This window comes from Homo sapiens, chromosome 12, assembly GCF_000001405.40.
Source record: "Homo sapiens chromosome 12, GRCh38.p14 Primary Assembly".
In the NCBI taxonomy this organism is placed as follows: Eukaryota; Metazoa; Chordata; class Mammalia; order Primates; family Hominidae; genus Homo; species Homo sapiens.
Window position 1 is genome coordinate 5,421,080 of NC_000012.12, and position 27,637 is coordinate 5,448,716.

The following is a 27,637-nucleotide window of genomic DNA, read 5'->3' on the forward strand; positions in this document are numbered from 1 at the left end:
ATATTTTTAAATGAATTTTTGTATCTCCATAAATAAACTTGATAAAGTAAAACAAATTAAATACAACTATTAAAATGTAAAATGTTTATCCATGTACCACCAAAAATAGTTTTCCATGTCAGTGGCAGAAACATTATGCTTTGGGAAAGTACATACTTGCTAAAGTGACCAGATCACTGATATGTGCAATCTCATGTTTGGAAGGAATCTTGACTACCACTTATCCAAATCTGAAACCCCTACACAACAATGTTTCAAAGTGGTCTCATACCTAAGCTCATCCAGTGACAGAGAACAGCTCCTCAGCTGTGGAGGCAAAGGATTCTATTTTTGGAAATTCTGTATATCAGAACCATCAACTTTGTCTTAACTTGAAATCTGCACCCCTGTAAATTCCATCCATCAATCCTAGCTTTACTCCTTGGAATCTTGCAGATTAGTCACACTTTCCATTTACTTCATGACCCTATAGATACCTGGATCTTTTCTACTCCGATTTGTTGGATGTTCCTAGGCTCCTGGGATCCACAATGCTAATGCTAGATATTGGTGTCGGTTTGTTTATGAAAAAGTAATTAGCAGGTAGATACAAGAGTTAAGAATTTATCCCAGGACTTACTGATAGCTTTATCACAGGAAAATTAAAATTAAAAGTTCTGGGGGCCAGGCGCAGTGACTTACGCCTATAATCCCAGCACTTTGGGAGGCCAAGGCGGCCAGATCACTTGAGGCCAGGAGTTTGAGACTAGCCTGGCTAACGTGGCAAAACTTCATCTCTACAAAGAAAAAAAAGAAGAAAAATACAAAAAATTAGTTGGGCATGGTGGTGCACGCCTGTAATCCCAGCTACTCGGGAGACTAAGGCACGAGAATATCTTTAATCCAGGAGGTGGAGGGTGCAGTGAGCCAAGATCATGCCACTGCACTCCAATGTGGGCAACACAGTGAGATGAATCCGTCTCAAAAAAAAAAAAGTTATATCAAAGAAACATTTCCTCAGCAAAATAGATCCTTTCATTATCTTTACTACAAAGCAAAGAAGATAAAAAAGCAAGAAAGATGTGGAGAAAAAAGATTTCCTCAGTTGGGAACCTTAAAAGGTCATCTATAATAATATTATTGAAAAAGAGATAGAGTTCATCTATTTAATCCTGTTTCTTCAGAAAAGACCAACCTTATGTCATCAGAAATAAGAAAGTAGTAATTACACTTTTAAAGCTGTCTTTTAATCCCACCTGTGATTAAAATTCTTTTCTAGCTCCTACTAAAACCTTGCCTTCTTCATTTTAAGTTAATTTTCCCTTGTGTGACCAGTTGTTCACAACAGGAACAAAATAAAGGAAATATTAAAATACACTGAAATAAGAAAGAGAGGAAAGAAGAAATGGAAGGGAGGAATTGGAGGGAAATGAAACGCTTCCAGAAGGAAAGCAGATGTGCCTATTTCTTGGGGGCTGTATGAACACAGTAGACAAACAGCAGCATCCTGGGAATCAGGTGAGTGGGCTCCACACTCTCACTGATGAGTCTGATTGTCTGTGTGGTCTCTGGCAGGTGTGCTCATTTTCCTGGGTTACAATTACTTCCTCTGTAAAATGAGGGGATTGACTAGGGGAATCTGAGTTACCCCCCATTGAACGCATGTCATTCATTCATTGCGTCTACCTGGCAGCTAGTCTGTTTTCCAACTTGAGATATGGGGTGTGGACCAGAGTTCACACTGGGCATCTCCTACCAGTTGTGATTTCATTCTCAACTTAACCACAGACTCCTTGCTAACCATGGGCAAAATCATTGTTTTTAGTTCATTAATTTCTTATGTCTGGAAGGTTATCTGCAACTTTCTTGTGCACCTCTTTTATTTTCTTTATTTTTAAGGTATCCATACAGTCAGTTAGGGGAGATGAACATAGGTGGAAAGATAATAGTTGTCATCATTTGTAAAGTTATTCTCTCTACTCACTCCAATGGAACTAATTTCTAGCTTTTAGACTCATTGTTGAAAACTTCTGATGAAAATTATTTTATATAGTGAGAAAAGGACCAATGGAATTTTCTAATCTTTGTTTGGAGGCAGAGGCAGATATGCTGGAGTAGTAAAATGCAAATCCGGGCTGGGCGCAGTGGCTCCCGCCTGTAATCCCAGCACTTTGGGAGTCTGAGGCGGGCGGATCACGAGGTCAGGAGATCGAGACCATCCTGGCTAACACGGTGAAACCCCGTCTCTACTAAAAATACAAAAAATTAGCCGGGCCTGGTGGTGGGCACCTGTAGTCCCAGCTACTGGGGAGGCTGAGGCAGGAGAATGGCGTGAACCCGGGAGGCGGAGCTTGCAGTGAGCAGAGATCGCGCCACTGCACTCCTGCTGGGGCGGCAGAGAGAGACTCCGTCTCAAAAAAAAAAAGCAAATCCGATGCCCATAGATACTATCTTGACAGCAGCTCCAGATTTTAAAACTCATTCAATGGCAGGTTTTGAACGCTGGCTTGCCTTTGGAGTCTGAGGTCTAAATGACAGTTAAGTCTATGTCTGTGTTAAAGGAAGAGACATCTGCATGAGTAGACATTTGTGCCTGGATGGGATTCAAATGAAACATAGGTAACAGAACATCAATTGCCCATAATGTTCTAATCCAACATCCTGTAGTTTCTGAGCAGGCATTTACAGAGTTAATACTTATTAGAGACTCAAGGCTCAACTTTTTTCCTGTATATCTTGATATTGCAAACCCTGGTAGTTTTAATTAGTGGCCTTTTAATCTCTGGAGCAAAGCCAATGGCCTGTTCCCTTGGACAAATTTCTTAACAACCTGGCACTGAGTGGCTTTGTCTGCTTGTGGGAGCTCTCGTACCCAAGGCTGTCATAAAGAGTTACATAGGTTATGTCTGCATGAAGGAACCAGCTGAAGAGATGGGTGGGTGTTGGAATCAGTTCTTCTTCCATGTGCCAAGTGAGTGTCCTGGTGTGAGCTACATTCACCTAGAAAGGTGTGCACACCTAGCGCACACAAAGGCCTATGGTTTCACCTGATCCTATCCTACTTTCAGTCTCCATTTCCTTCCTCGTTTCATGCCCTAGGACAACCTGGGGTCCAGGAGGGCTGGCTCTGTGGGTATTGCAACCTTCCTACTGCAGGTCTTGGCACTGGACTAAGGAACAAGAGACCTGCCTCATGTCTGAGCTCCTCTGTGTAATCTTAGGCAAGTTGCTTATCTCCTCCTATGACTCAGTTTCTTCATATGTATAAAGAGAAAAATGTCACTCTATCAAGGTTAGATGGTGCAGAGGGACAGACAGCTGGGGTTCAAACCTCTGTTTGCCACCCATTCACTACCTATGTATCCTTGGCCAAGTTATATAAGCTTTTTATACCTCGATTTTCTTAATCTGTACAGTGGAGCTAATAATAGCACCTACCTATATATCATGAGTCCTTACAAAAAAGCCTACAAAGTAGGTGCCATTATTATTTCCACTTGACATATTTAATAAATTGAAGCCTAGGAGAAGACACGTAACTTGCCTAAGATCACACAGAGGAGCTCAGACATGAACCAGGTTTCTGCCTCTTAGTCTAGTGCTAAAACCAGTGCATGTGTGCATGTGTGCATGCTTGTATAGCTACAGATATAGATATGTATGCTGGCATGGATAATACAGATATAGGTATAGATATAGATATCTATATGTACGTGTGTGTGTGCTGGTTTATGTATATATATGTATATGTATCTGTATGCACACACATATGTGTTTGCATGTGTGTGTATAGATACCTTTATATATACATATACACACACATGCACATGCTGCTTAAAACAGTGCCTGGCCTATAATGCTAAGATTATTAAGTACCCAATGCTCAGTAAGTACTCAATAAATGTTACCTATTGCTATTATCTGTAGAGAAAGTTTCCACGTGCTAACGTTCCCTCCCTCCTGTGCTGGGAGTTTGTGGTTTGAACAGACGAGAGCCCAGCATGGGCACCCTTGGCTTTTTGAGCATTATTTGCATTCTGAACTGGGGCCTGACGACAGCCTGCTCTCAGGGTGGGGACAGGAGCAGAACCATCAGCGAACTGACTGGTAAATATAGCAAATCATCCGATGGGTTGGCTGCATGGGGTGTGTCTGTCTGTATATGTTTGTGTGTGTTGGAGATAGTAGTGGTATGTAAGCTTATTTTAACTGGAACTCATATTTTCTAGCCCCTCCAAGAACTAATACCTCTTTTTAATGTTTCATGGGAACACTGGACAGAGGGTCTTTAAAGTAAAAACTCAGTGACTCATTCTCTCTCTTCAGTTTTTCTGAACTGCTGAGTAGAGAGAGGAATATTTTCAAGGAAACACGAGGAGATTAGGATGAACCTTCTTTGCCCCTCACCCCACCTCACCTGCTTTGTACCTATCAGTGGAAGGTGAGGGCTGGTCTTGGGGGCAGGAAGATGGATGAAGTGACATTTGCAGGATCCCCTGGGGGCAGGTGTATAGGAGGTGAGTACTCGAGGGGCATTTCATCACGCATTGCTCTTAGGCATGGCTAGCCTGGATGGGTCTCAATTAGGAGTAAGGAGACCTAGGTTCCCATCCTGCTTGGTCTCAAATCCCTGCAAAGGCTGCACCTTGAGTTGCTAGGCATTTACTTCCCAGACATTCCCTGCCCCTTACTACCAGTAAAAGTGGTAAATGCAGGGTGTGGCCAGAATGCTTTTCTAATCCCTAGTGCCACTCCAAGTCCCCCTACAGAGTTAAAGCCTAAAATGACTTCAAACCCAATGGAAGACATTGTGTGATGGAAACAGTTCTAGTTTTCCAGTTGGCTTTCTAGCCATGAATTTGTGTCCTGTGTCCTTTCTCCAGCAGGTCAGGGAAAGTGCAAAAGGCAGGCTTTACTCTACATTGACTGCCCAGTGCTAATGGGTAGGAGCACGTCAGCCATGGGACTCGCAGGGAAACTTGCCACACTTTGAATATAGGAGTCACCTGGCTGTGTCTTGTAACCAGTTGGAGACTTCACTCACAGATGTCACTCTGGGGCTACTGAAAATAGAAGAAATCAGATAATACAAAATTTCTAACTGTATTCACATTAGTGTGTTCTTTGTTTTCTTATTTATATTCACAGTCATGAAAGAAAATGAGGTTAAGTACCTTTACACATGGTAAAACCAAGAAACTGAAAAGTTTAGTTACTTCCCTGAGCTCACAAAACAGTGACAAGACTCTGGATCTCATTTCCCTATCTCCCTGTCTCTAACCCAGGATAATTCTCTGGATTGCATTGCGTGTCAGAATTTCTCTGTTCCTACAGTGTAAATTTCAGCCTTAAGCTCCACCTACAACTTGCCATTTTCGCCCAAAGCATTCAAGATGTTCTTTTGCATCCAGACCCTCCTCCAAATGAAGAAAGCTGCAGTGAAAATGCCACTGAGTTGAGGGGTTGCAAACCAAACCTCCATTCCCATAATTCAATTCTCAGGCCCCAGCCTTCTGCTAAGGCTAACAGATCCACTCCAAAATTTTAAGAGTCCACAGTGATCAAAAGCATCTGTATATTCTGAAACATGCAAATCAACCCTGTTTTTCACATTCATCTCAACATTTGGTGGAGGGCACAAGAGTCAGCTGGCTGCTGAGTGGACGCAGCTTAGCAGATGAATGGAAGGGTCAAATCCCTCTCAAGATTTGTAGAACTGGATCTGAAATATGAAATGCCAGCATACGTGATGAGAGGGATAGTCTATCGAGTGTTTTATCATCCAAAGATGGAATTAATGGCTATGCCATATCTGTGTCAGACCCCGGCAGTAAAACTTTATGGGTTCTTCCCCGTGAAATATTTTGTTTATGTCACGTGGGTCTCATCGGATGTTTTTTTCTCTTTTCTTCACTTCCCCTCCCCACCCTTTTCCCTGCCCTCTTTGTCTCCTGAGACCTATTCCCTTTGGAAATGCATTAGTTACCTAGGAAACCTTAATGTCATTTTTTTATGAGTGGAGTTTGGTGCAGCATAAAGTTAATTTATAGGGTGGTTAGGAATTCATGTCATGACTGGTGAAATAGGAGACTTTATTATGATTTCTACATCCACCTGTGTGGTAGGAATACATACCTTCCCTCTATCATTACGGGTAATTTCTTGAAACGTAATTATGAATATGTATGCCATGTCACAGAATAAGTTGATTCACCGTTGTTCAATGCAATTCATTATATTGTTCAATGTAAGCCCTAGAACATAATTAGCAATAACAACAAACCAATAATATACCAGGCAATCTGTTAAGAGTTGAAGGATATGGTGGAATTTCCTTTTAAATGATGAGGTGGTTCTGGGTGAAAGGCAGAGAATGAATAAGACGAGATTTTGAAATCCTTCAATTCTGTCTTTCATGCACATTGAGGTCCACGTTGGGAAGCTATATAAATTCTAAATATGTCCACTACTTCATTCTGCTGATTTATTTCTGTATTTGTCCAAAGGGGAAAATATACATCCATAAAATTACATTAATGAAATGTGTAGTGGCATACAAATAATAATACACAGGCCATTCCAGAGCCAAGCTTCTTTCTAAAGATAGCTCATTCCCCCAGTGGTGTGACAGTGTTTCCTGTGTAAGGACTAGCAGATCGGGACTGGCATTCACATTGTGCCAGGCACTGTGTTGAATGTTTTAAATTAATTAGTTCCTTTGGTCCTCATATTACTTCTATGAGATTGGTGTTGTCTTCACCAATTGCAGATGGGTTCTAAGAAGTTAAGAAACCTGTACAAAAGCACATGGCTACTGAGTGGAGAAGGTAGAGGGGAACCTGCTTTTCTCAGGCACCAAAATCTACTCTGGCAGTAAATTCTAGGTCGTGGTCTGTCATTATGTTTTTGTTTTTGTTTTTTGTTATTCTGAGTTTCCTCAGTTATTAAATGCAGAGTGGGGGACATAGGGGCTGATAGAAGTTTATCTCTGATGTCTGTATTCTGTGTAGAGAGATCAATGCTAGTCCTTAGAGCAAAGCTGTGCTTTCTTAAAATGACAGAAATTTGGGGGAAGACCTGGTCTTGTTAAATAAACATAAACAAGCCACTCAGTTTCTGTGGACAAGTGCATGCGAATTGAAAGAAAAGAAGAATGTCTCACAGGTGACTCCAGGTCATCTGAGAGGAATTGCTATATGGCTTGACAGCCTGTAGCTCTTGGTGAATAATGCTGTTGCCAGTATATAGAAACGGGTGGGCAGCCAGGAATCTTTCAAGTGCGGAGGCACAAAGGTAGCATGAAGCCGCCTTTCCTGACCCTTAAGCTCCCAGTCCCTGTGCAAACACCTTTTGCATTCACTTTAATTGTTTGAAAAACGAAGACTTCCAGACTCCATCAGCTCTAGCAGCTGTCTGGGTGGATGGGGGTGGGGATGGAGGGGGTAGGGCGAGACCTCCCCACAGCGCCCTCCAGCAGCAGAAGATGCAACTTGCAAATACTTCAGGATCAGTGAGAAGTGTGGTGTTTATTTTAGTAACCTCAAAAGAGAGAAAAAGAAAAGCAGTGGAAGAGGACAGACATTCAAGGCTAGCTACACGATCATGGGGAAAAAAAACAAGCTTGTCTTTGACACGGAAAGGGTCCTTGGAGGCCATTCGGTCCACTTCTCTCATTTCCTGGGTCAACATGTCACAATGAATTAACCACATACTGCCACTGCACAAGACCCCCTCCCTCACCACACGCTGAGCCCCCACCACCAGCATTCAGTCCACTGAGCTCAAACATAGGGAGATAAGTGCTGTTTTCACAAGATAAAGGCAAAATTCAATCCCACGTTGCCGTTTTGTTTCTGTTCAGTGTTCCAACCACAGAGTGGTGCTATTGCAAAAGATAAGGGTAACCAGAAGGCACGCTCTGGAAATTTGCTTTAGGAGAGAGTTTTAAAGGGGGTTTTCAAAAACAAGATCTGATTCCTGCTCTCAGAAATCACTTCCAGGAGTCAGGGCCTTACTCTCAGATGCAGCAGGGAGAAGAAGAAAGTTCAGCAACCTAAAAATACAGTCGACAGATGGGCAGCCAAAGTCATGGCCACGAAGTCAACTTGGAGAGGAGCACCTACCTAGTGAATCCTAAAAGATCTCATCCTGGATGCTTCCTTAACCAGGCCTATGTACAGGGCACAAGCTCGCAGCCAGCTTACTTTCCAGTCCTGATCTTTGCTTTTGCTATCCATACCAATGGTATTTCTATAGAAAAGAAAAATCTCTATTTAGAAACACGGATTTACTTAGAAGTCACAATATTCTAGTTTAAAAATGGCTCTACATAGTAGAGAATGATCTTTTTATTCTGTCTTCTTAAAAATACACCTTTCTAATTCTTTTTTTCTTCCCACCTTCTTCATTCAGCACCTTGCCACTCCCTTGGAAGCCACAACAGCGAGCTGGGGGGTCAGTCCCTAGTCTTAGAGGGAAGAAATCTTTAGGTCTGAAGTCTAAAGAAAAACAGTAAAGGAAAAGGCAGTTGGCGGTGCTCAAGGTAGACTGTCTGAAAGAGGTCTTCTACTCAGAAAAGGGCTAAGGCTCTCCCTTTGGGAAACCAATCCTTCTGAGAAAAAGTGCATCTTTCACCCTCTGCTCCTGTCTGGGTCTCTCCCTCTTCCTCCCTCCTTCCCTCAGTCCCTCCTCCCCTCTCTCCACAAAGACACAGCACATATTTGGCAAGATTAAGGTGTCACCTCTCATATTACAAGGCCTGTTGATTGCAAGCAAAGACAGACCCACCAGCTTAGGACAAAACCCCTTGGAGTTGGAAATAAGACAAACTCTGGGATCCCCGAAAGTCCCGGCAAAATGACGCGGCCAGCCAGTGCAAGGCATCTGCAGAACAAATCCAAGTCCTAAACGCACTGCTTGCTGCCTTTTCTTCTCCTTCCTTTCTTCTGATTTTTCAAGTTTGTTTGCCCCCCTTCCCCTCCTCCCTCCAGACTGCCAGGGACCTGGGAGCTGCCTGCAGATCAGCCCGCACATGTATTTAACCCCTTCCCTGCTGCAGCAGGAGCCAACCACCTCTTTCCTTGCAATCTTCAGGTTCCCAGAGGACCTGGAGCTTGAGAAAAGAACTCTGCCAGTGGATCTGAAACTGGGGCCTGAATCCCTCCTTTGACCAGGGCGAGAAGCTGGAGGAGGGGGGCAAGTGCGGGAAGTGGGGGAGGGCAGGGAGGCGGGCCAGATGAGAGGGAGAAAAGCAGAACCCGACAGAGCACGCCCAATCCAAACCTTCATGGTGCTGTGTGGCTGGGTGGAGGGAACGACTCGGCAGCCTCTTCTGGCCCTGAGGAAGACGTCGATATTTTGGCACGAGGGGAGCCACTGAAGGACTACCCTACCCTTGCGAGGGACCGCAGGAGGTGACGCCCCTGGGCCTCGGTGGGCGCTTCTGGCGGTTTTCGATGTGGCAACCCCCATCAGCCAGGATAATGATGAGGCAGGTACAATCTATCTAGTACGCAGCCCCCAGACTCCCCCCTCCCTTCCCACCTCCCCATCCAACCCCCCAGCTACTCTCTGCGGCCGGTTGGTCCTGAACTGGTGGGTGCAGTTCCGATGTTTAACCAAATTCTCAAGCAATTTCAAGGTATTTGGATTTTTTGAACCTGGGCCCTAACCGAAACGCGGAACGGCTTGCTTATTAGACACCTCGAACGACAGGGCAGGGAGGAAACGGGATACTCGCTGCCCTTCCCAGTCGCGCGTGAGTCAAAAGGTCCTGGCAGGAGATGATGTGAGGAGCGGCTGAAGTGGCAGGGAGGAAGGGATGAGGGGCTTGGAGCGGAGGTCCACCACGCAAGGACTCGGGAAGCGGGCAAGTGGGCAAAACTCTGCTTCCGGGCTCTCGATTTCTCGTTGATCACTAAGTGGTATTTTTCCCCCTTCTCTCGATGGCAAATGGGCGAAATCAAGATGACTTAACTTGGTAAATTTAGAGAGAACGGCTCGGAGCAAGTGAGGTCTAACGGGCAGCTAAAATTATCTCCAAATAAGAGATTTTGACCCCCTCCCCCTATCCTCTCCTCGAATGTATCCACCGGTGGGGAAGTGAGCGTCATTACTTTCGGGGCGCCACGAACAGGTTTGTTTGTTGCTCGCCTTTCCTGCTTCTCGCGCTGTCCCCGCGTGCAGACTGGTGGGTGCTGGGCGAGTGATTAGCTGCAGGGCCCCATCCTAGTTTGGAAGGAAGGGGTTTAGAAGTTGGAGGATGGGTGAAATGGGAGGCTGCGATCCATCTCCCTCTCCCTTCCACACTCAAGCTCCCGCAAACACGCGCGCGCACACACAGCCCCTCCCTAGTCCCTCGGACCACCCGCCCCCACGCCCCTCTACCTTGACCTCCCTTGACCGCCGACACAGCGTCCTGGGTGCGGGTCCCCGGGAGCGGGGAGTTCGCCGGGGAGCGATTGTCCTTGGGCGTGTTCGTGCTGTGGGGTGGGGGGAGGAGTGGCGGGTGGGCTTGGTAGGGGGTGGGGAGAGATCTGGAGCTGGAAGGGTCTAAGGTTTGGAGGAGGAGTTTACGCCTCAGACCTGATCCTCCTGAGGAAAAAGGCAGGAAAAGGCCCTGATGCCTTGTAAAGAAAATCTTGAAAGAAAAAAGATCAAAAAGAAAAATTTCAAGAAAAAGAACCACTAAGAAAGGCTGAAGACACTAACATGTAACCTGTTACGATACATTTAACGTTTCGTTTTTTCCTGGATCTCTAAAAGGGAACTCAAGGGTGGGGGTTACTGAAGAATACTACAGATTTGGAAGTTTTTGTTGCTGTTGTTGTTTGGTTTGGTTTTGTTTTTCAAGAGGGGCCAGGAGAAATGACCCCTTCCCCGCCACGGGTCCCGAAGTGAGGGCGGGGGGGGGGCTCTGGGGCGCGGGCGCGCGCGGCGCGGCGCGGGCCGGCGGGGGAGGGCGGCGCGGCGCGGAAGGGGTTAAGGCGCTGAGCGCGGAGCCATCTGGCCGGGTTGGCTGGTTATAACCGCGCAGATTCTGTTCACGGGACTCAGAGTTGAAGCTCCTCTCCCTTCCGAACAGCTCCGCGCACCGCCCCGCGACGCAGCCCGGCGCAACTACTTTCTTCTCTCTCCTTTCTTTCTTCCTCTCCTTTTTCCCCTGCTGGGTAGTGGCTGCGGCGGGGTGGGGGAGACTTTGAATGACCGAGCTCGCGTCCACCTTTCTCTTCATGTCGACGTCCCTGGAAACGGCCACACGGATGCCATGGTTACTTTTGCCACGGTAAGGGGAGGCGGCGGGCACCTTGGGTGGGCAGGTTTGGGGATGGGGGTCCACGTGGGGAGGGATTTTCCAGTGGACTGGTGCGGGGGGCCCCAGATCCGCATCCCGCCCCACCCCCATCGCGCCGCGCTCACTCACTTTCCCGGGCTTGTGTCTTCCCCAAAGTTTGCGCTGGGATCTGCTCAGGCCGAAGCGCAACCGCAGCCACCCCGCTACACACACACACACACACACACACACACACACACACACACACACACACACAGACACGGACACCCTTCTCCACCTCCTCCCCTCTTGTCCCTCGGCTGCCCAAGAAGCTTCCCTCAATCTGGGAAAGTGATCAGGTTTAAGGGACCTGGATTGGAAAGGGTGGGGGCAGAAGAGGGGAAATGGGGACGACGAAAGAGCAGGAAAGAGATTCAACAGAATCAACCACCCACCACTCCCAACCGACCCGCCTGCTCCTCCGAGAAAGCTCCTAGCGCATCCTATAACAAAAGGGGGTGGCAGACAGAACTCCGGGCGGGGAGGTGCCGCGGCAGCTCCCCTGCACACGCCCTGCACTCTGCCGGCCGCTGAGCCTGATTCTCAGCTCGCCCCAGCACCACTCTGGCCCGGGCGTGGGCTGGGGGGAGGGGACGCGCAGCTCAGGACCCGGAACCTCGCGTTCCAGTTTTGGGAGTTGGGACTCACTGCCACGCGCCGCGTACCTGCGTTGGAGTTCCCCGAAAGGGTTTTTTCAGAAAAGACCTCGCGCCCCGGGCTCCTCTTGGCCAGCGCCCACCCGGTGGCCACCCCACCCTGGGCCTTTGCGCAGATGTTGGAGCTCCGTACGCAGCCCGCACATCTGGGACCCCTCCGGGGAGCGGCGGGCACCCGGGCCCGGCCATCCCAGGGGATCTCCTTGCGGTATCGTCCAGCCTGTTCTCGGACTTTGAGCGGTGGCGTGGGAGGCCGGGAGACCTGGGCACCCGCGCAGCCAGCCAGGTCGGAGTTTAAAGGTCCCACGACGGACCGAACTGTCCCATTGCCCCAGAGCTTTACTCAGTGGTGGATGCTCCTGATGAAATTTGGGACGCTTGGGAGTTGAAGGTTAGGGACAGGAGGGGCGAGGGCCGAGGGCATGGGATGGGGGAGTAGGATTCTGCTTGTTGCTCTCCGCGGGAGTGGGTGCGCGTCCAGGAGGCGCTGCTTCTTTGCGGGAGTTTGGCTGCTGCGTTCATTCGTCGTCTGCGCTTCAGATGCACGGCACTGAGACCCTTGCGTCCGACGGTGTCGGGGCTGTGGACTAGAAAGGATCCCTTTTGCTGGAATCGAGGCTGGGGTGGGATTGCCGGTGGGGGAAACACCGAAAAGATCGTCTGGCCTCGGCCTCTGGCGGCGGGCGGCAGGTTCTGAGTCCGAATGGAGGTTGCTCCCGGGAGCGCCGGGCTCAGAGCTAGAGAGCTCGGGAGACTGTGCGCCTGTGGACTTGTTTATGTGTGTGAAGAGGCGGGGGCGAGGGCCTGCTGAGAGGGGAGGGGAGCCTGGAAGGGGTGGGTGTTTCTCCTGGAGCCTGATGTTTGTAACTCAGCTGATTATGGAGTGCACTGAGCGACCTGCTTTTTAAATAAAGAGGTGCCCGCTCCTACCCCGCAAAACAGCGAACGAGGAGAACATGGAAGCGCTCTGTCCTAAACGTCAGGATGGGAGAAAGTTGTAACATAGAGGAGACTTTTCCAGAGGTCCTGTTTTCACAACACTCAGAAGTTCTCCAGCGTACTCAGCCTGCCTCCCGCCTGCCCTCAATTCCTTTTTGACATGTCACACAAAGAAAGCTGAAAGGTAGAATGTGGAGGATAAACTCCAACCCCCTCTGCCTTGGGCGCAAACACACAGACTTAGGTATCGTGTTAGGAGGTAAGGGGGTTGGAAAATAATGCAGGCTCCGGTAGACAGTGTTGAAGGGAGATAGAAAGTCTGGGGTATTTCCCCTAGGGAGAGTGTGTGGGATTTTGTGTTGGTGAGGACTGGAGTGTAGCTGGACTTAGAGGGTTTGGTTGTGTGTGAATGGGATATGCTTATCTATGGAGTGAGATTGTGACCATTGAGTGAGTGGTCAGGGAGGGATGGGGATGTTTTTCCAAAGTGTGTGTGTGTGTGTGTGTGTGTGTGTGTGTGTAGGGGAAGGTGGCAAAAGAGCTGGAGTCCTATCCCTCTTTGGTGCCTGGGAGGTGTGTGTTTCTGGGGAGTCTGTCGGATGGGCATCTGTGTGCTTAGCGGGAGACAAGAGCTTGCAGGAACATAGGTGTAGCTAATGCGAAATCTGTGCCTATGAAGGGTGTCAGAGCAGGAGGAGAGGTGCAGCCTGTTGAAGACAGATGGCTTGTGCATGCCTGCACAAACACATGGAGTGGGTGTGGTGTAGGAGGGCGGCTGTGTGTGTGAGGGAAAGGTGGATGCATGTGGAAGGTTGGGCGCCTGAGGATTACCAAAGGGATGTGTGTGGGGGGTGGGGGAAGATTATCTGAGGAGCACGGGGTTTGAACTTCATGAGGGTGCACTGGGAAATTTGGCTGGAATGGCACTGGGGCATGTAGGGGGTAGAAAAGTGTGAGCTCAGATCCTCTTTATGGAAAGACAAAGCATTTGCAGGGAAGGACACCGGGTTGGTGTTGGTGTTTGCCTCCCCCCTCCTTCCTCCCCAGAGAGAAGAGAATTGGAGGAGGCTTAGAATGAGGGATGTACATTTAAGGGGAAAAGTCCTTGTGCATTGGCACTGGGTGGGAACAGGAAGAGATGTGTGCATAAGACTGAAGTAAGTAGAGGAATGCACTATCTGTGCCTGGTGTCAGGGATGCATGTTGTATAATGTTTTGTAATGGGTTTCTTATGTAATAGGAGAATTCACTATCACCAGTTCATATTGATAATCAATTAAAGCTAATGGAGTGCCTACTGGATGCTCAGCCCATTGCTGGGTACTGGGGCATGGCACACTGCCCTGGAAAAATTCCTTCTCCAGGCTCAGTAAAACTGATGCAATTTTGCCAGAAATAGACAGAGCTCGACGCTTGTTGAGGTTTCTTCAAGGTCTATAATTCAGTTTCTAGAGATGTTTATGGATCTTGGGGGCCAAAGGGAAGCTGACTTGAAATATATCTCTGGTTTTGTAAAAAGTGGGGCATAAAGAGAGGGATGATGTAGACTTTTGTGTATTGGGAAGGGAGCTGGACGGTGTTGTTGTTTCTTGTGTGGGGTGTGGGCTGGGAATTGGAGGGTGCTGCACTTCAGGTCAGAATGCAGGTCCAGATCCCTCTAAGGATTGAGTTTCTAAGAGTACACAGAGCCTCCTTCATAGCTGGAATGAGACCTGTTATGTGGAGCTGGAGAATGGTGAAGTCATGATCAAGGAAGAGATGGACTGGGAGTGTTTGTTCATCTTTGATGTTTTCTGGGCTACGAGTGTAAAGCTAACCTGAGTGTGTGTTGGGGGGGTGGGTATGCATGCAGGTGCGTGCACATGCACTTTGGCCTGGAGTAACGTAACTGGGAGAAAACTAGCGAGGTGGATAGGAGGGGTGGATATTCTGGCTCTTGTGAAGGGGGTGCCAGTATGTGTTTTTGCAGGAATTCTGTGTGTCTGGGGAAGGATAAAAATTGTCTTGGATACTCAGATGTGCATCTTTAGCGAAAAAAGGTGTACACAAAAGAAGGGCCGTAGACTTTGGGGAATGAGACAAAGGTGTCGTTGATCGGGTCCATACCCTGAGATGGCTGGTGAGGCAACTGGGTAGGAACAGAGTGAAGGCTGTGCTTTTGTGATGCACACATCTGCCTGTCTGGAGCAGACGATGGGGATCCCCATTTGATTAGGTTCTGACCACCGTTGGGCATATGTTTGGGAGGACTTTATTTGACTCATGACATTTTTGAATTCATGAAGTTACAGCTGTGCCATTTTAAGGGTCTACCTTATTTTTGAGAGGGAAACTCATCTGTGTAAGAGATAGTTTATATAGGGCTTGACTATTGGTCAGAAGATCCGGGGCAGATATTTCTGAGAGCAGGGTGGTGAAGTGCAAGACTGGATTGGGAATGTCTTAGTTCTAGTCCAGTTCTACCACTTGGGAAAAGTGTGACTTTGGGGACATTTTTAATCTCTATAACTCTTCTGTTTCTCTTTTTGTAAAGGGGCAATATAATGACTCAAGGAGAAGGAAAGTTCACTCCTCTTTTCCCCCATCAAAACTTGATGTGTTTAGTTGTATACAGCCATACAAAGATGAAATGTAATTAAATACAGGTGCTAGCACGTATGTAGGTCATTGTGAAAATAGGATCTGGACCCCTTTCTCTTTACAATGCAACTTAATCAGTAATCATGATGCCCACAGCATCTCTACTGCTCACTCATTGTGTAAATAAAACTTTTTATAACTGCCTCAGTTTACTCATCCAGAAGCTGGAGGCAGCCAAACCTAGATTATAGATGATGGAAATCTTTAAGATCTTTGAGCTATTCAGAGGAAAGGTAGTCTAAGAATCAATGTTATTAATGATCAGAGACAGACATTTCTTTATTTTTTAACATCAGCTATGCAGACCACAGCACCAAAAGAAATGTGACGTGGAGAACAGCAAAAATAATAATTGCCCTTGACATAGGCACCATTTGAATAAAAGAAGAGCAAAGTCTAGCCTGCCTGGTAAGAGGAAAGCCTGGGCTTTGGGTCTTTGAAATTCTTTGTGCCCAGTGCAGCAAGTTGGGTACAGCCACTTTCCCCAGAGATGAAGATGGAGTCGTAGAGGGGCATGGAAACACACTGAAACCTCCGATTCCTCCCAGAAGTCAGTACATGCTGTCAACTCCTGGCTCAGAGTCAGGCTCCCATCCTTGAGTTCAGTGGCCATAAATAGTCAGGAGCTAAGCTATTTCCAAGAGGCACTAAACTAATTCTGTTGCTTTTCTTGGCGAGATTGGGCCAATTAAGTTGATTGGAAGAGGTCACTGCTGATGGGTCTCACATTCCCCAGGCGGGACAGGCCAGCAGAGTTTAATTACATAACATTTCCCATGTCTTCACTTCCACTCCCAGATGTATCAGATGTTCAGGCCTCTCCTCTTTCCCTACATTCAGGATGCCTGACGGAGCAGGCGGCTTCTGCTACAAGCTTCTCCAGACCTTTTCCTGAGCAGTTACAGCACTCCCACCCCAACTGGAGGGAATGCAAGTCTGTGCATTGCCTGGAAGTGAGAGAGGGGATGCAGGCTGACACAGAAGATCTTTAGAGCCCACCACCCTGCCTCAAGCCTCACCCGCGGCTGTTTTACTCTTTAACGAGGCAGGCAGTTTCTGGCGTTGGGGATGTTGAACTAATGACCGTTGCTAGGGTTTTAGATTTAGTTTTATTTAAAAATGAGTTTGTTGGAAAAGGACCAAATCTTCTACTGGAGACAAGCCTAAGCCCCGTGTGGTGCTGCTGATAAGGTCTGTGGATGTACTTTGTGCATGGACAGGCATGTGTGGAGTAAGAGGAGAGCACAGGATGTGCGTGCGTGCGTGCTGGGGGACACGTGAGCGTAGGAGATGCCCTGGGTAGATGGGGCATTTGTAGAGCTTATGTTATGGGTGGCAGGTATCTGGATGCTTGGCTCAGATTGGATTGTCATTGGATTGCTTCTTACAGGTGGGACAGCCTGAGAAAAAAGTTGGGGACACCTTCCTTCAGATCATTTTTATATGGGCATGTTGAACCTTGAAGTATGAGGCCAGTGTAGATATTACCTCATTCTTGCCTGGATGGATTTCTAACAAGATTGAGGCTGGACAAAAAAAAAAAAAGTCTTTCAGAGGACTCATTTTAGAACCTGTGAGAACACATGTAGATGGCCCCAGAGCGTTAAAGTATTTTTTGTTGTTGTTAATAGTTTTCCATAACTCAGTCTTTTGTTTTACCTAAAAATACTGAGAGGCTAGAGGTTGCACACACCCCCACATGGTCAGAATGCATTTGCTGTTCATGTCCCCATCTGTGCCATGGTCCTTCTCAAATAGGATTAATTGGGAACTACGGAGAGCTTGCCGCAGCTTTGGTTGTCCTCACAGGACAAACCTATGACTGACCGTGATGTCATTGAAACAGAACAGATTTTGACGTGAAATTTCGTGTGGTCTGTTGTGATTGCTCACTTTTTAGTAACATCTCCAGAGAAGACATTTGTTGAGCCCCATTTTTTTTTGTGGGTTTGTTCAGTCAGAGATTTGTTGGAAGATTTAAGGTTCTCCAACATTCAAGGCCAGAGATTTTGGAGGAAACAGTAGCTAACAAGAGCCCAGGCCAGGGTGACCTTCAGTAGCCTGAGGCAGCAGGTAGCTGCCTGACTTAGAAGTGAAGGACCAGGTTCAGTGACTGGGCTCTGTCACTAATTAGCTGCTACTGTGTGACCCTGGACATTCTCTGTAGGACATGACTTTGCCATCTGTAAATGAAGGGCTTGAATTAGAAGATCTCCCAGTCCCATTCCAGCCCTGTCACTGTAGGATTCCACAGTAGCCACATCCTCCTACCTAATCAGTGCTAATTACCTCACTTGGAGTGCACCCTGGCACGCCCTTAACGAGCTCCTGTTTTTATCTTTGGGGAATGGCTGAGTCAAAGGCAGAAAAGCGTGCAAAAAATTTGCCAGAGTGTTTCCTTTTGGCCAAGAATGCTCTAAACATTGGCTTAGCCTACACAGGGTGTGCAGAGCTGAAAGGGGTGGGATTTGGCTTTCTGGTAGGTCTGATGCTAATCATTCAGCTTCCACGTGAATGTCTTTCAGTGGCAATGTCTCTGACTAAGGTAAGCATCCATCTTTAAGATGATGGATGATGATGATGATGACAGTTAATATTAGAGTACTTACTGGGTGCCAGGCATTTTTACAGCTATTACATGGCATTATCTCAGTACTCAAAATAATCTCATTTACAGATGGGGGTACTGAGGTTATGTGAGGTTAAGGGGTATGCTGATGTTCTTGGCTTTCCAGCCTGAAGTCTGTGGCATCCCAAGCCCATCACCTGCTAGTCAGATTCTGTTTTTTATGTCTGTGATGTCATCCAGATGGGAGCTGGGTCCATCTTCTTCTGCAAAGTTGGTCACCCCATAGGGTAACCTGCTCCCTGCCCCCGGAAGCCTCCTTGTCATGTGCAAGACAAATGTTTAGGTTTTCTAGCCACCTGCTGGCAAGCATGTGTCAGATCTGTCTCAGCCTCCATTGGCCCTCTCCCTTTACTTCTTGTTCTGTTGACAAGGGAACCTGCCCTTACAGAATACGGATATTGATTTAAGCCACAATTGCCTCCTTGTAAACTCTATAAAATTGGAGCTGGACATCTGGTTTTGATCCACACGCCCACGAGAGGTGGTAGGTCCCAGCATTCTTGAGTCCTGGAATTGCACAGAATCAAAGTGAAAAAGAATATGAATGGAGAGCATGAGGTATCTTTAGAATTTGGAAGATGGCTTTCTTTGATAGGCTAGGGAACTCACACCATTTAGACTGGGGCCAAAGTTAAGGTAGGTTTCTTGCTGGGAGGTTGGGGGGCAGGGGTCACTGCTAAAGACTGAGGTCCCCAGGCTGTGTTTGATGCAGAGCAGAGCAGCTGTAGAGCCCTCCAGCTGAGGATTTGCCACTGCACACCATTCTCTGGGCAGTACCAGAAATAGAGAAGCCAAACAGGTTCTTGGGGTGGATGTTGCCCTGTTTGAAGATTGTGACTAAAGGCTCATTCCTTCTTCCTCCACTGATTTCCTCACCATCACTACCACATATACATCATCAAGACAGTTAAGGACAGGTGACTTTGTTCTGTTGCTTAAACATATTTGCATGTACAAATAAATGTTGAACACTAACCTAATGCCTATTAGACCATAGGTACTCAAAAATTATGTATTTACTTTGCTTAAAATAACCTTTCATGTGTAGGGTGATAATTTTTTTCTTCATATGGAGTATATAGCCTTTTAAAAACTGATAGCCAGGTTCTTGCAATTTACTTCCCCCTTCCCTCTGTTTCTAGATCTAAGACCCCAGCATTTAAAAATATCCTTCTCTGGCTCTAAGTGATCCCTCAGGGAGTTTGTTTCAAGTTCTCAATCTGAGATTAGTTTCATCCCACATCTAGAGGACCTGCTTCTAATGGTTCATAAGGTACTTCCACTGGGTTCAAGAGGAAGACACAGCTCTAGAAATCACCTGCTTTCCCAACAGGTGTGTCCCATGGTGGGGAAGAAGCCCAGTCCTCCTAACACCCACCTGGCTACCTTAAATAGCTTGCCACAGTCTCCCTGCAGAGAGCCCAGACTAGCTGTGTGACTTTAAGCAAATCACTTTCCCTCCGTGGGCCTCTTTTCCTGGAAAAGGGAGGAGTTGGACTCACTAGAGGGTCACAAGGACCCTACCAGTGTGACAGATCACATCTTCCATGACTCCGCTGCTCCCTCGGCCCCACACTGTGGCCCATGCCTGGGATTTTCAGGTAACCCTGCTGGCCTAGAGGACTTACATAGAGTGATTTGGAGGGGGTGGAGGAGGAAATTAAGTTATGTGATGCCAGATAAGTCATTGAACATACGGATGAGTGCATGTTTATGAAGCACTGAAGAAACAAGCTTGCCAGATTCGTGGCGGATCTTGGATTGGAAGTTGGGAGTATGCGAGAGGTTTATGTGGGATTAAAGTTGTCTGTGGGTAGCTGAATTCAATAAGCTAAATCAGAGAGATCCCAAACTCTGCAGAGAGATCAGACCCCGCCTCTAACTCCAACAGAGGCTAATTACAATTTTGGGAAGTCCTCGAACCACACTAGGTCTCACTTCCTCATCTATTAAGAGCTACTGACTTTGATTATCTCTAAGGTCTTTCTTGACTTATCATTAATTAAATTGTGAGAATTGGGAGCTAGTAGAAAAATCTGGACAAATGCGTGGATGGAGAAGGGGATACCTCAAATGGCCTAAATATAGAGGGAAATGTTCTGTACAAGTGATACGTTTATTCTTGAATCGGAGATAGCATTGGAGGATATATTCTGTACAAATATTGTGCTTCAAATGCTTACCCCTCCATCATCATCAATGATATTAAAATCATTGCTTAACCTGGGATATTTGCTTAACCTGGGAAGCCTCCCTGCATTTCCCCAGAGAGCCTAAGGCTCCCTTCCCAGCCTCCTGATGCCACTTAGCAGCCTGTGTTTAATTTGCATTCCTAGAATGTGACTTCACAGAGAAAGGGATCTGTTGTTTTCATTTTTGTGTCCCCCACCTTGAATAGCGACAGCCACAGGAATGTGTTGAGTGAATGAATGCGTGACCAGCCATTGTGAGCTCAGAATGTGCAGCAGCGATTTGACAGTGCCAGGAACTTGGCTCAGAGAGGCAGTGCACCTTGCCAGGGCTTCAAAACAGTGTTACCTTTATCCCCCTTTTGGCCTGTCCCAAGGCTAAGGTCATGAATGCTCAGCGCTTGGTGGCCAGAAAAGGCTGTTCTTACTCCCTTTTAGAGACCTTTCTTCCCCACATCTTAGCCTGCTTAGTTCTCCTGCAAATTGGGGCTCTTGGTCACAGGGAATCGGGTGTCATTGCATACGCATTAGGATAACTCCTCGTTAGACACTCGGAAAGCAACTCAAAACACACGTGTACAGATTATTCATTAAGCAGTCTGTTGGTGGTCACGTGCTAAATGTTGGGGAAGATGCAGAGATGAATGTAGTGCTGCTGGCCTTGGGGTCTGGAAACTGGTGAAGGAGGCAGTCAGGTTACAATCATAGTGCTCCAGGGAGAACAAGGGAAGCAAGGAAGATGGAATACAGGGTTCCCACTTCAGGTGTTGTTTTTTAGTACAAACCATGATTGAGAATCCTCTTGGTTCAGGAGCAAGCTGGAGGGTCCAGGAATGGTCTCCGCTTCCACATGACAGTGGTTTTCTTGTCCCTGAATTCCCAGGGCTAGGGTGATGGATGCTCAGAGACCATTGTGATGGGAGCCCTTGGTCCTTGTGGGGAGAGTCGGGGGAACACGCATGTTGTACAGGTGTTGGGGCTTGGGGAGGTGTAGGTGTGCATGCTCACCAGGGTACTTCTCAGAAGTATCCCTGCTCGTGGCATGGTGGGGGTGAGTCCACCTCAGGCCCCTAAGCTGTGCTTCTACTTCCTTTCTAATTATACAGCATGTATTGTCTCTGTGACCACTTCTGACACAGGAACAGACTGCCATCTACTGTCCACTTCTGTCCTGAGTCCCTCCTGCTCAAGGAGGCATTTATTTTTTCTCATCCTGTTTTTAATAGATCCGGACACCAGGAGAAACAGACGTGGAGTCCTATTTAGTAATTTTTTTAGAATTTAGAAGGGAGCCTTCAAAAAACATAGCACATCTGTCAGATGGTTTCCGTATCTGTTTACAAAGTATTATTGTAAGGGGCCACTCTGCTGCCACTGAGTCTTGCTAGCCGCTGTGCGAGGTGCCGTGTGGGATACCAAGAGATACAAAGCAAGGCCTTACCTTCAACAGCCTTGCAGTCTACTTGCGAATACAGTGTAGATTTGCAGAGAAGCAGACTACAGGATGTGGCAGTAGATATTTGGTAAGAGGCATCTGGGTGGTAGGGACTACAGAGGTTTTGGGAGTTTGGAGGAAGGAGGAGCCCTTATAGGCTGGGGGATTTGGGAAAGACCAATATGGGTCTCCTTTTAGCAATCCCAGTGTTTAGGAAGAGGCTTCTAAGAGCTGCGCGATGTTGTGGGACAGGCTATGAACTGGAAACTCAGGAACCTGGAGGGCCTGAGGTCTAGTCCAGCTTCTGGCAGTCCTGCCCTGTGACCCAGGGCCTTGGGTTCCGCATCCTCAAAGCAAGGCTGTTGGTCTTCTTGTCATGTAAGGGCCCCCCCATCCCCGACCCTGCATCATGTACCACTCTTGGATGCAGTGGGAGGTGGTTTCCTGGTTTCCAGCTTGTCAAGAGCAATAGAGTCAATTGGATCCCATGCAGGAAGGATACCTGGATGCAGGGCCCTGTGCTGATGACCCCACATGCAGCAGGAGAGAGAGAATTTCCCCAGGGGAGTTTTGGGTGCTGTTAAAATACAAAGGGGGGAAATGTTCCATGCAACCTCTGCATGCCACTCCTCTCCAGAGCTTTCCTGGACTTTCCTTCCAAAAATATATGTGCATGGTGCTTTGCGTCCAAGATAGCTACCCCAAAAGAAATTGTATTAGTATTCTAGCATTGTTCATAGCTCAAATCTAAGATTCCTTCACATTAGAATTCATTCCATGATTGTTTTTATGGAGGTTTTCTTTGAGTATTTGAGACTTTTGGTAGCTGTGGATTAAAATGAGGAAAAGATTGTTTTCTATAGCTCTTTTACTCCTTGTCTCTTTTTCTCTGTCTTTCTTAGCATTTAAACCACCACCAAGGAAACCTCCAGGGTGTTTATTGCATATTCTTGCCTTTTGATGTGTGTGTGTGCATGAGAGAGAGAGAAAAAAAAAGAAAGGGAGAGAGGAGAGGCGAGAGAGAGTACAAGAGAGAAAGATATTTTAGACTGTGGTCTATTAGCATGTCTAGGAAATCAAGTTGAATTTGGATTGGGTTACAGGTTGAGAGACCTCAGCTCGTCACTGTAATCCTCTGACATTTCCCTTTTACTTTTTGGCTCTTGTCTGAATCAAGAATACATCTTCCCGTTCCCTCTTCCATGTTTACATCTTCTTTTGGGGCAGCTGTATAAAGTTACTGTCTGTCTACAGCAAGTCTCCTTAATTCTTTTGGGGACTGCTCGACAGAGGCACAGTCAAGGATAGAACCATTAGAGACGGTCAGCTTTTGGACAAAGACAAAAAAATATGTTGAGGAATAGGAGAAATGTTCCAATTGTCGATTATGTGTTTTCCTGTGGTATGCTGATGTCTGTGACTGTTGTCCACAGAAAGAGAGCGTGAGCAGGGGCTGGGGCAGAGATAAAAGGGAGATTCTCCCCAAACCAACAAATGTGGAGAGAGAGCAGGAGTCCCCAGCAACAGATATGGAGCCAAACAACCCTGGGAAGTAACTAGGAAACTTCCTGGTGACCTGAGATGTGTTTTGTAATCACTGGTGAAAGTAGGAGGAGATGGGGTAGAGGAGAGTTACAGGTAGAGAAGTTCCGTGGGAGGAGACCCCAAGGTGAGAGAAAGCAGGGACTTAAAGAACTGAAAGAAGCCCAGGGAGGGGATGAACAGAGAACATCCCATATATCCCATATCCAGTATGGTGGAGAGGTGGGCGGGAGCCAACTGGGAGCTTACTTTTTTTTTCCCAGGGGCATGGGAACTATGGAAAACTCTGAGGGCACAATTAAGCTTTTGTTTTTAAAAAGATCCCTCCGGCTGCAGTGTGGCTCTGAATAAAGAGTTGTTCAATGAAGAAAGGAATGGCTGATGGTTGGATTGATGGAAGAATTAATGAATGAGCAAACGAATGCATGAGATGCAGAGGGAACGCAGCAAGCCTGATTTGATCTCTGGTTACTTTGACCAGTACTGGCTCCAGGGGCGATTATCTCAGCCTGGGAGGCCAGGGAGTAATGCATTGATTAGAATGTCTCTGGACACATGGATTAAAATATCTGATATTTTAGGGTGGTTGATAGTGGGGAGGACTTCTGAAACTTTTTCCCTCTTCTATGCATTTCCATCCTAATTTGATTTCATTCAGGATCAAAAAAGAAGATGGCTTTTGAAATTACATCCCAGAAAATCTGAAACTGTGGCATTGACTTGCTCCAGAGAGGGCTGCTTGCATGGAAGACCTTTTCATAGGCTCATCGTGGAATAGGGACAGATGATAAAGTTTCTTGGGCATATGAAGGGGTCCCAGATTTCTGGACGTCAGATCCACCCATAGATGATTCCTTGGATTAAATGATGTGTGTGTGTATGTGTGTGTGTGTGTGTGTGTGTGTGTGTGTGTGTGTTTAAAGTTTTAAAGTCTCCTGAAAATTACCAAGTGCTACTGAACATTTTTTTTGTCAGTAGTGGATATCTGGATAATTTCTTTCAAGGCCACATTGCTTAGCATGTATAAGGAAAGTGTGTGCGGCAGAGACCCAGATGGACAGCCGGCATGCCATCCAGTTGCTTGGGGAGTGTGAATACTCCTTGGCAAAGCCAAAGGGAGCCAAAGAGGACCTCTAGTGTCTTTGCTCTCCCATGTCCTGACTATTCCAATCTCACTTTGCATTTTGAGATCTTTTAACTTTTGCTAACAGTGATTGCTCAGGATGTCATTCAGGCCAATTAAATTTGAATGTCTAGGGTTGGGACAGAAGCTCACGAGGTGAATGCAATGTGCAGCCACGTTGAGAACCACTAGCTGACACTGCTAATCTACTCTGCTCTCCTCCCTGCCTTTTGGCGGCTTTGCCATGATATCTGTCCCATCCTCACCTCAGTTTGCTGAGAACTCCTCACTTAGTTAAGGAAGTTCTTCTAAGGATGTTCAACTAATATGGGCTAAGGCCTCCTATCCCCTAAAAATCCAGCATTTGCCTGAGAAATTGGACGCTAGGAGGATAAGACAGGTTCTTAGCAGATTCTGAAGCACTCACCGTCTCTCATCTGCTGAAGGGTGTATTGAGGATGAATGATGGGGAACAGCAGGGAGAAAGACCAGCATCCATAGGGCAGTAACAGGGTGCAGACACCTATTTATATGTGTCATCGTAGTTCCCCTGACAGCTCCCAGAACCAGATATTATACCAGGCAGATATACCAGGCTTACAGGCACCTATTTATATGTGTCATCTCCTTAGTTCCCCCAACAACTCACAGAGGCAGATATTATACCAGGCTTGAGGGCACAACAACTCACAGAGGCAGATATTATACCAGACTTGAGGGCACAGTTTGCATAATGCATTCATAATGCAAAGTGGTTTGTGATCTTGGAATGATCAGACTTCCTACACTGGTTCTCCCCAGTAATTTGCATATCAGCCAGATACCCTCCTCTAGGGTTAGCTATGATCAGGGCTGCTGATTTCTGGCACTGATGGCTCAATGGGAAGGAAAGCGCCTATCCCCTCTGTTCTGTGGGATTCAGCAATCTTGGGCTGGTCCTTCCAGGAGGCCCAACCTGAGGACATGCTTTAACCAACAGGCCTTTATATTGAGAAAATAGTAGTTCTCTTCCTTGCCATTTCCCTGTTAGGAAGCCATGGCTTGCAGGACAGCCAGGGAGTAGAGGTTCAGAGAAGGAGGCTAAAAAAATCAAGACCTGAAAAAGTTAAGTTTCCAACCATATATTCCCAAATTGTAGAGTGGACCATATGGAATCATTGCAATCCCTGGGTTTCTCATTTACAACTTTTGCAAAAGATATTACTATGTATGCTGTCAGGCATGCTGGAGCCGGATGTCTAGCACCCATTGCTAAGTGCATGCTTCGGTAAGAGCTTTGGACTTGGGATTCTCCAGACTGCTGAGTGACCTACGTGTAGTTTAGCAACATAATGCTTGGAATGAGCCACGCCGACCTGATGCGAGAACCGGATGGTAGCCGAAGAGAGCAGGCCAGGTAGTGAGACAACTATGATCTGCAGAGGTGGGCAGCGGGGTGGAGACAGGCTTCTTCTGCACCAAGTACTGCTACCTGAACTGTACATCACAGAGACAAGCCCTGCCGAGAGCAGTGGAAGCAGGAAAACACAGGCCTATCTCTGTGTCTGTCATGTAAGTAAGTCTCTCTTGGCTGTGTGTACCTGCCACCATCACCCCATCCCACCCCAAATATACAGCATCACCTTCAGCTATAGCTTTTGGTTTTTGATTAAAGGACAGTAATATTTCCAGGAGGGAGAAGAGTGATGAACAGAAGCATTTATGTATGGACACTGGGCAATTTATTGTTTTTCAAAGTCTAATCTAGAACATGTTTGCAAGAAAGCGTGAATTGAGTAAAAAGTTTACTATCGTATTAAGGACTGTTAGGTACAATGACTGAAGGAGGAGTTAAGAGTGATCCTTCAATAATTCCCCTGTGGGATTATGCACATTTAAGGAAAAATGTTCTTCAGGCTATTTCTGCCTTAGAGCTAGGCATCATTACAGCGAAATAGAGAACTAACCTTTAAGCAAGAGGAACCAAGTTCTAGTTCTATTTCTGTCAATCACTGTACGCACAACCTCTCAAAGCCTTAGTTTCCTCTTTGCAAAGTGGGATAATAAACCCTACCTACTTAACACAATGTGGGGTTTCAGGTGAGATGATGCATAGGATCGTGCTTGGCAAGCTGTAAATCTGTAAATTACAAATATATATTATGGTTTCAACTGGTACATTCCTAAGCGAATAGCACATTGCTCTGTTGGGAAGACGGCTCTTCTCCAAGTCAGGCTGGGATAATGTTCCCTGACAAGACACTGCCATACCTAGGTGTTCCCCAAACATTGTCTCTGGGAACCTTGAGGAAGCACCATAAGACATGGGAAGAAATGTTACAGCGCTGGCTTGAAAGAATAACAATGTATCAGTCTACTTATTTCTGATAATGTCATCTTGGGATAAGAGACTCAGGGTAGCTTAGTGAGGGACATGGGCATGCACTGCACAGTAAAAATGGTGTCCAGGAAACCTGGGTTTATTTCAGTATGGGTTGCCCACACTTCTGCCAACCCAGTCCCCTACTTCGTCCCCAGCTGCTCTTGATGAACTCTCTGCACACACTTGCACCTGTATCTGTGAAACAGAGCTCCTCCTCTTACATGAGAATGGATCTGGTTGCAAATCTAATAGATTCCGCTACCACAATGTCCCCTGCCTTTTTTGTTTACTTCATTTATGAAAATACCCTTGAAACATCCATAGTCCCATTTTGTAGACATGGTGCTTTATGTCTTTGAGATTATTAAATACTCATGCTCCTTTCTGATTGCTGTTTTCACCTCTTCTTTAGGCTTGGGCTTTTCTATTGGTGGAATTTGCTGTTCCTTTTCATGGTGCTGGCTTTCCTGAGTTGGGTGGTTGCTAATTCTTATTGCCAGTTTGTCTTCTGTGACAGATTCTCCGACATGCCTCGGATGTGGCTTCCGTGCTTGGCTTTAGCTTTTTATCTGGGCTCTCGTGTCCTGAATATTTACCTTCTTTCAGGAATTTCTCACAGCTTCTAGCCAATGAAAGTCCCCCTTCTTATTGTCAAACCCAGACAGTTATAATTTTATTTTAAATGTACTTTTTGTTACATTGTTTTGGGAGTAGGGCTGGAAGGACTTGCTAATGGATGAGTGGTGGAAAGTGAGAGAAAGAAAGATATGATGGAAGAAGGAGCAATCAAAGCCCCAGAAGGAAGCTATCG

General features: G+C 46.7%; 1 protein-coding gene across 3 annotated transcripts in view, besides 1 other annotated feature; it reads left to right on the forward strand.

Annotated features, from left to right (window-relative positions):
- NTF3 (neurotrophin 3) overlaps positions 9,253-27,637 on the forward strand; it is a 64,968-nt gene continuing 46,583 nt past the window's right edge. The window contains exon 1 of one of the 3 annotated variants that reach the window (XM_047428901.1): positions 9,253-10,114. Coding sequence is in view for 1 of the 3 variants with exons in the window: in NM_001102654.2 (NP_001096124.1) it covers positions 11,246-11,263 (18 nt within the window). In the remaining 2 variants the exon portion in view is untranslated. Of the gene's footprint in view, positions 10,115-11,028; positions 11,264-12,189; positions 12,254-27,637 lie in introns of those variants that run through there. The other 2 variants (NM_001102654.2, XM_011520963.3) reach the window with 2 other exon arrangements.
- Positions 11,846-12,371: an enhancer, noted in NCBI's record as "H3K27ac-H3K4me1 hESC enhancer chr12:5542091-5542616 (GRCh37/hg19 assembly coordinates)". NCBI's record gives its function as "activates a minimal SCP1, AML or CMV promoter by ChIP-STARR-seq in naive H9 embryonic stem cells {active_cell/tissue: H9 hESC(naive)}" and the evidence as "EXISTENCE:reporter gene assay evidence [ECO:0000049][PMID:30033119]".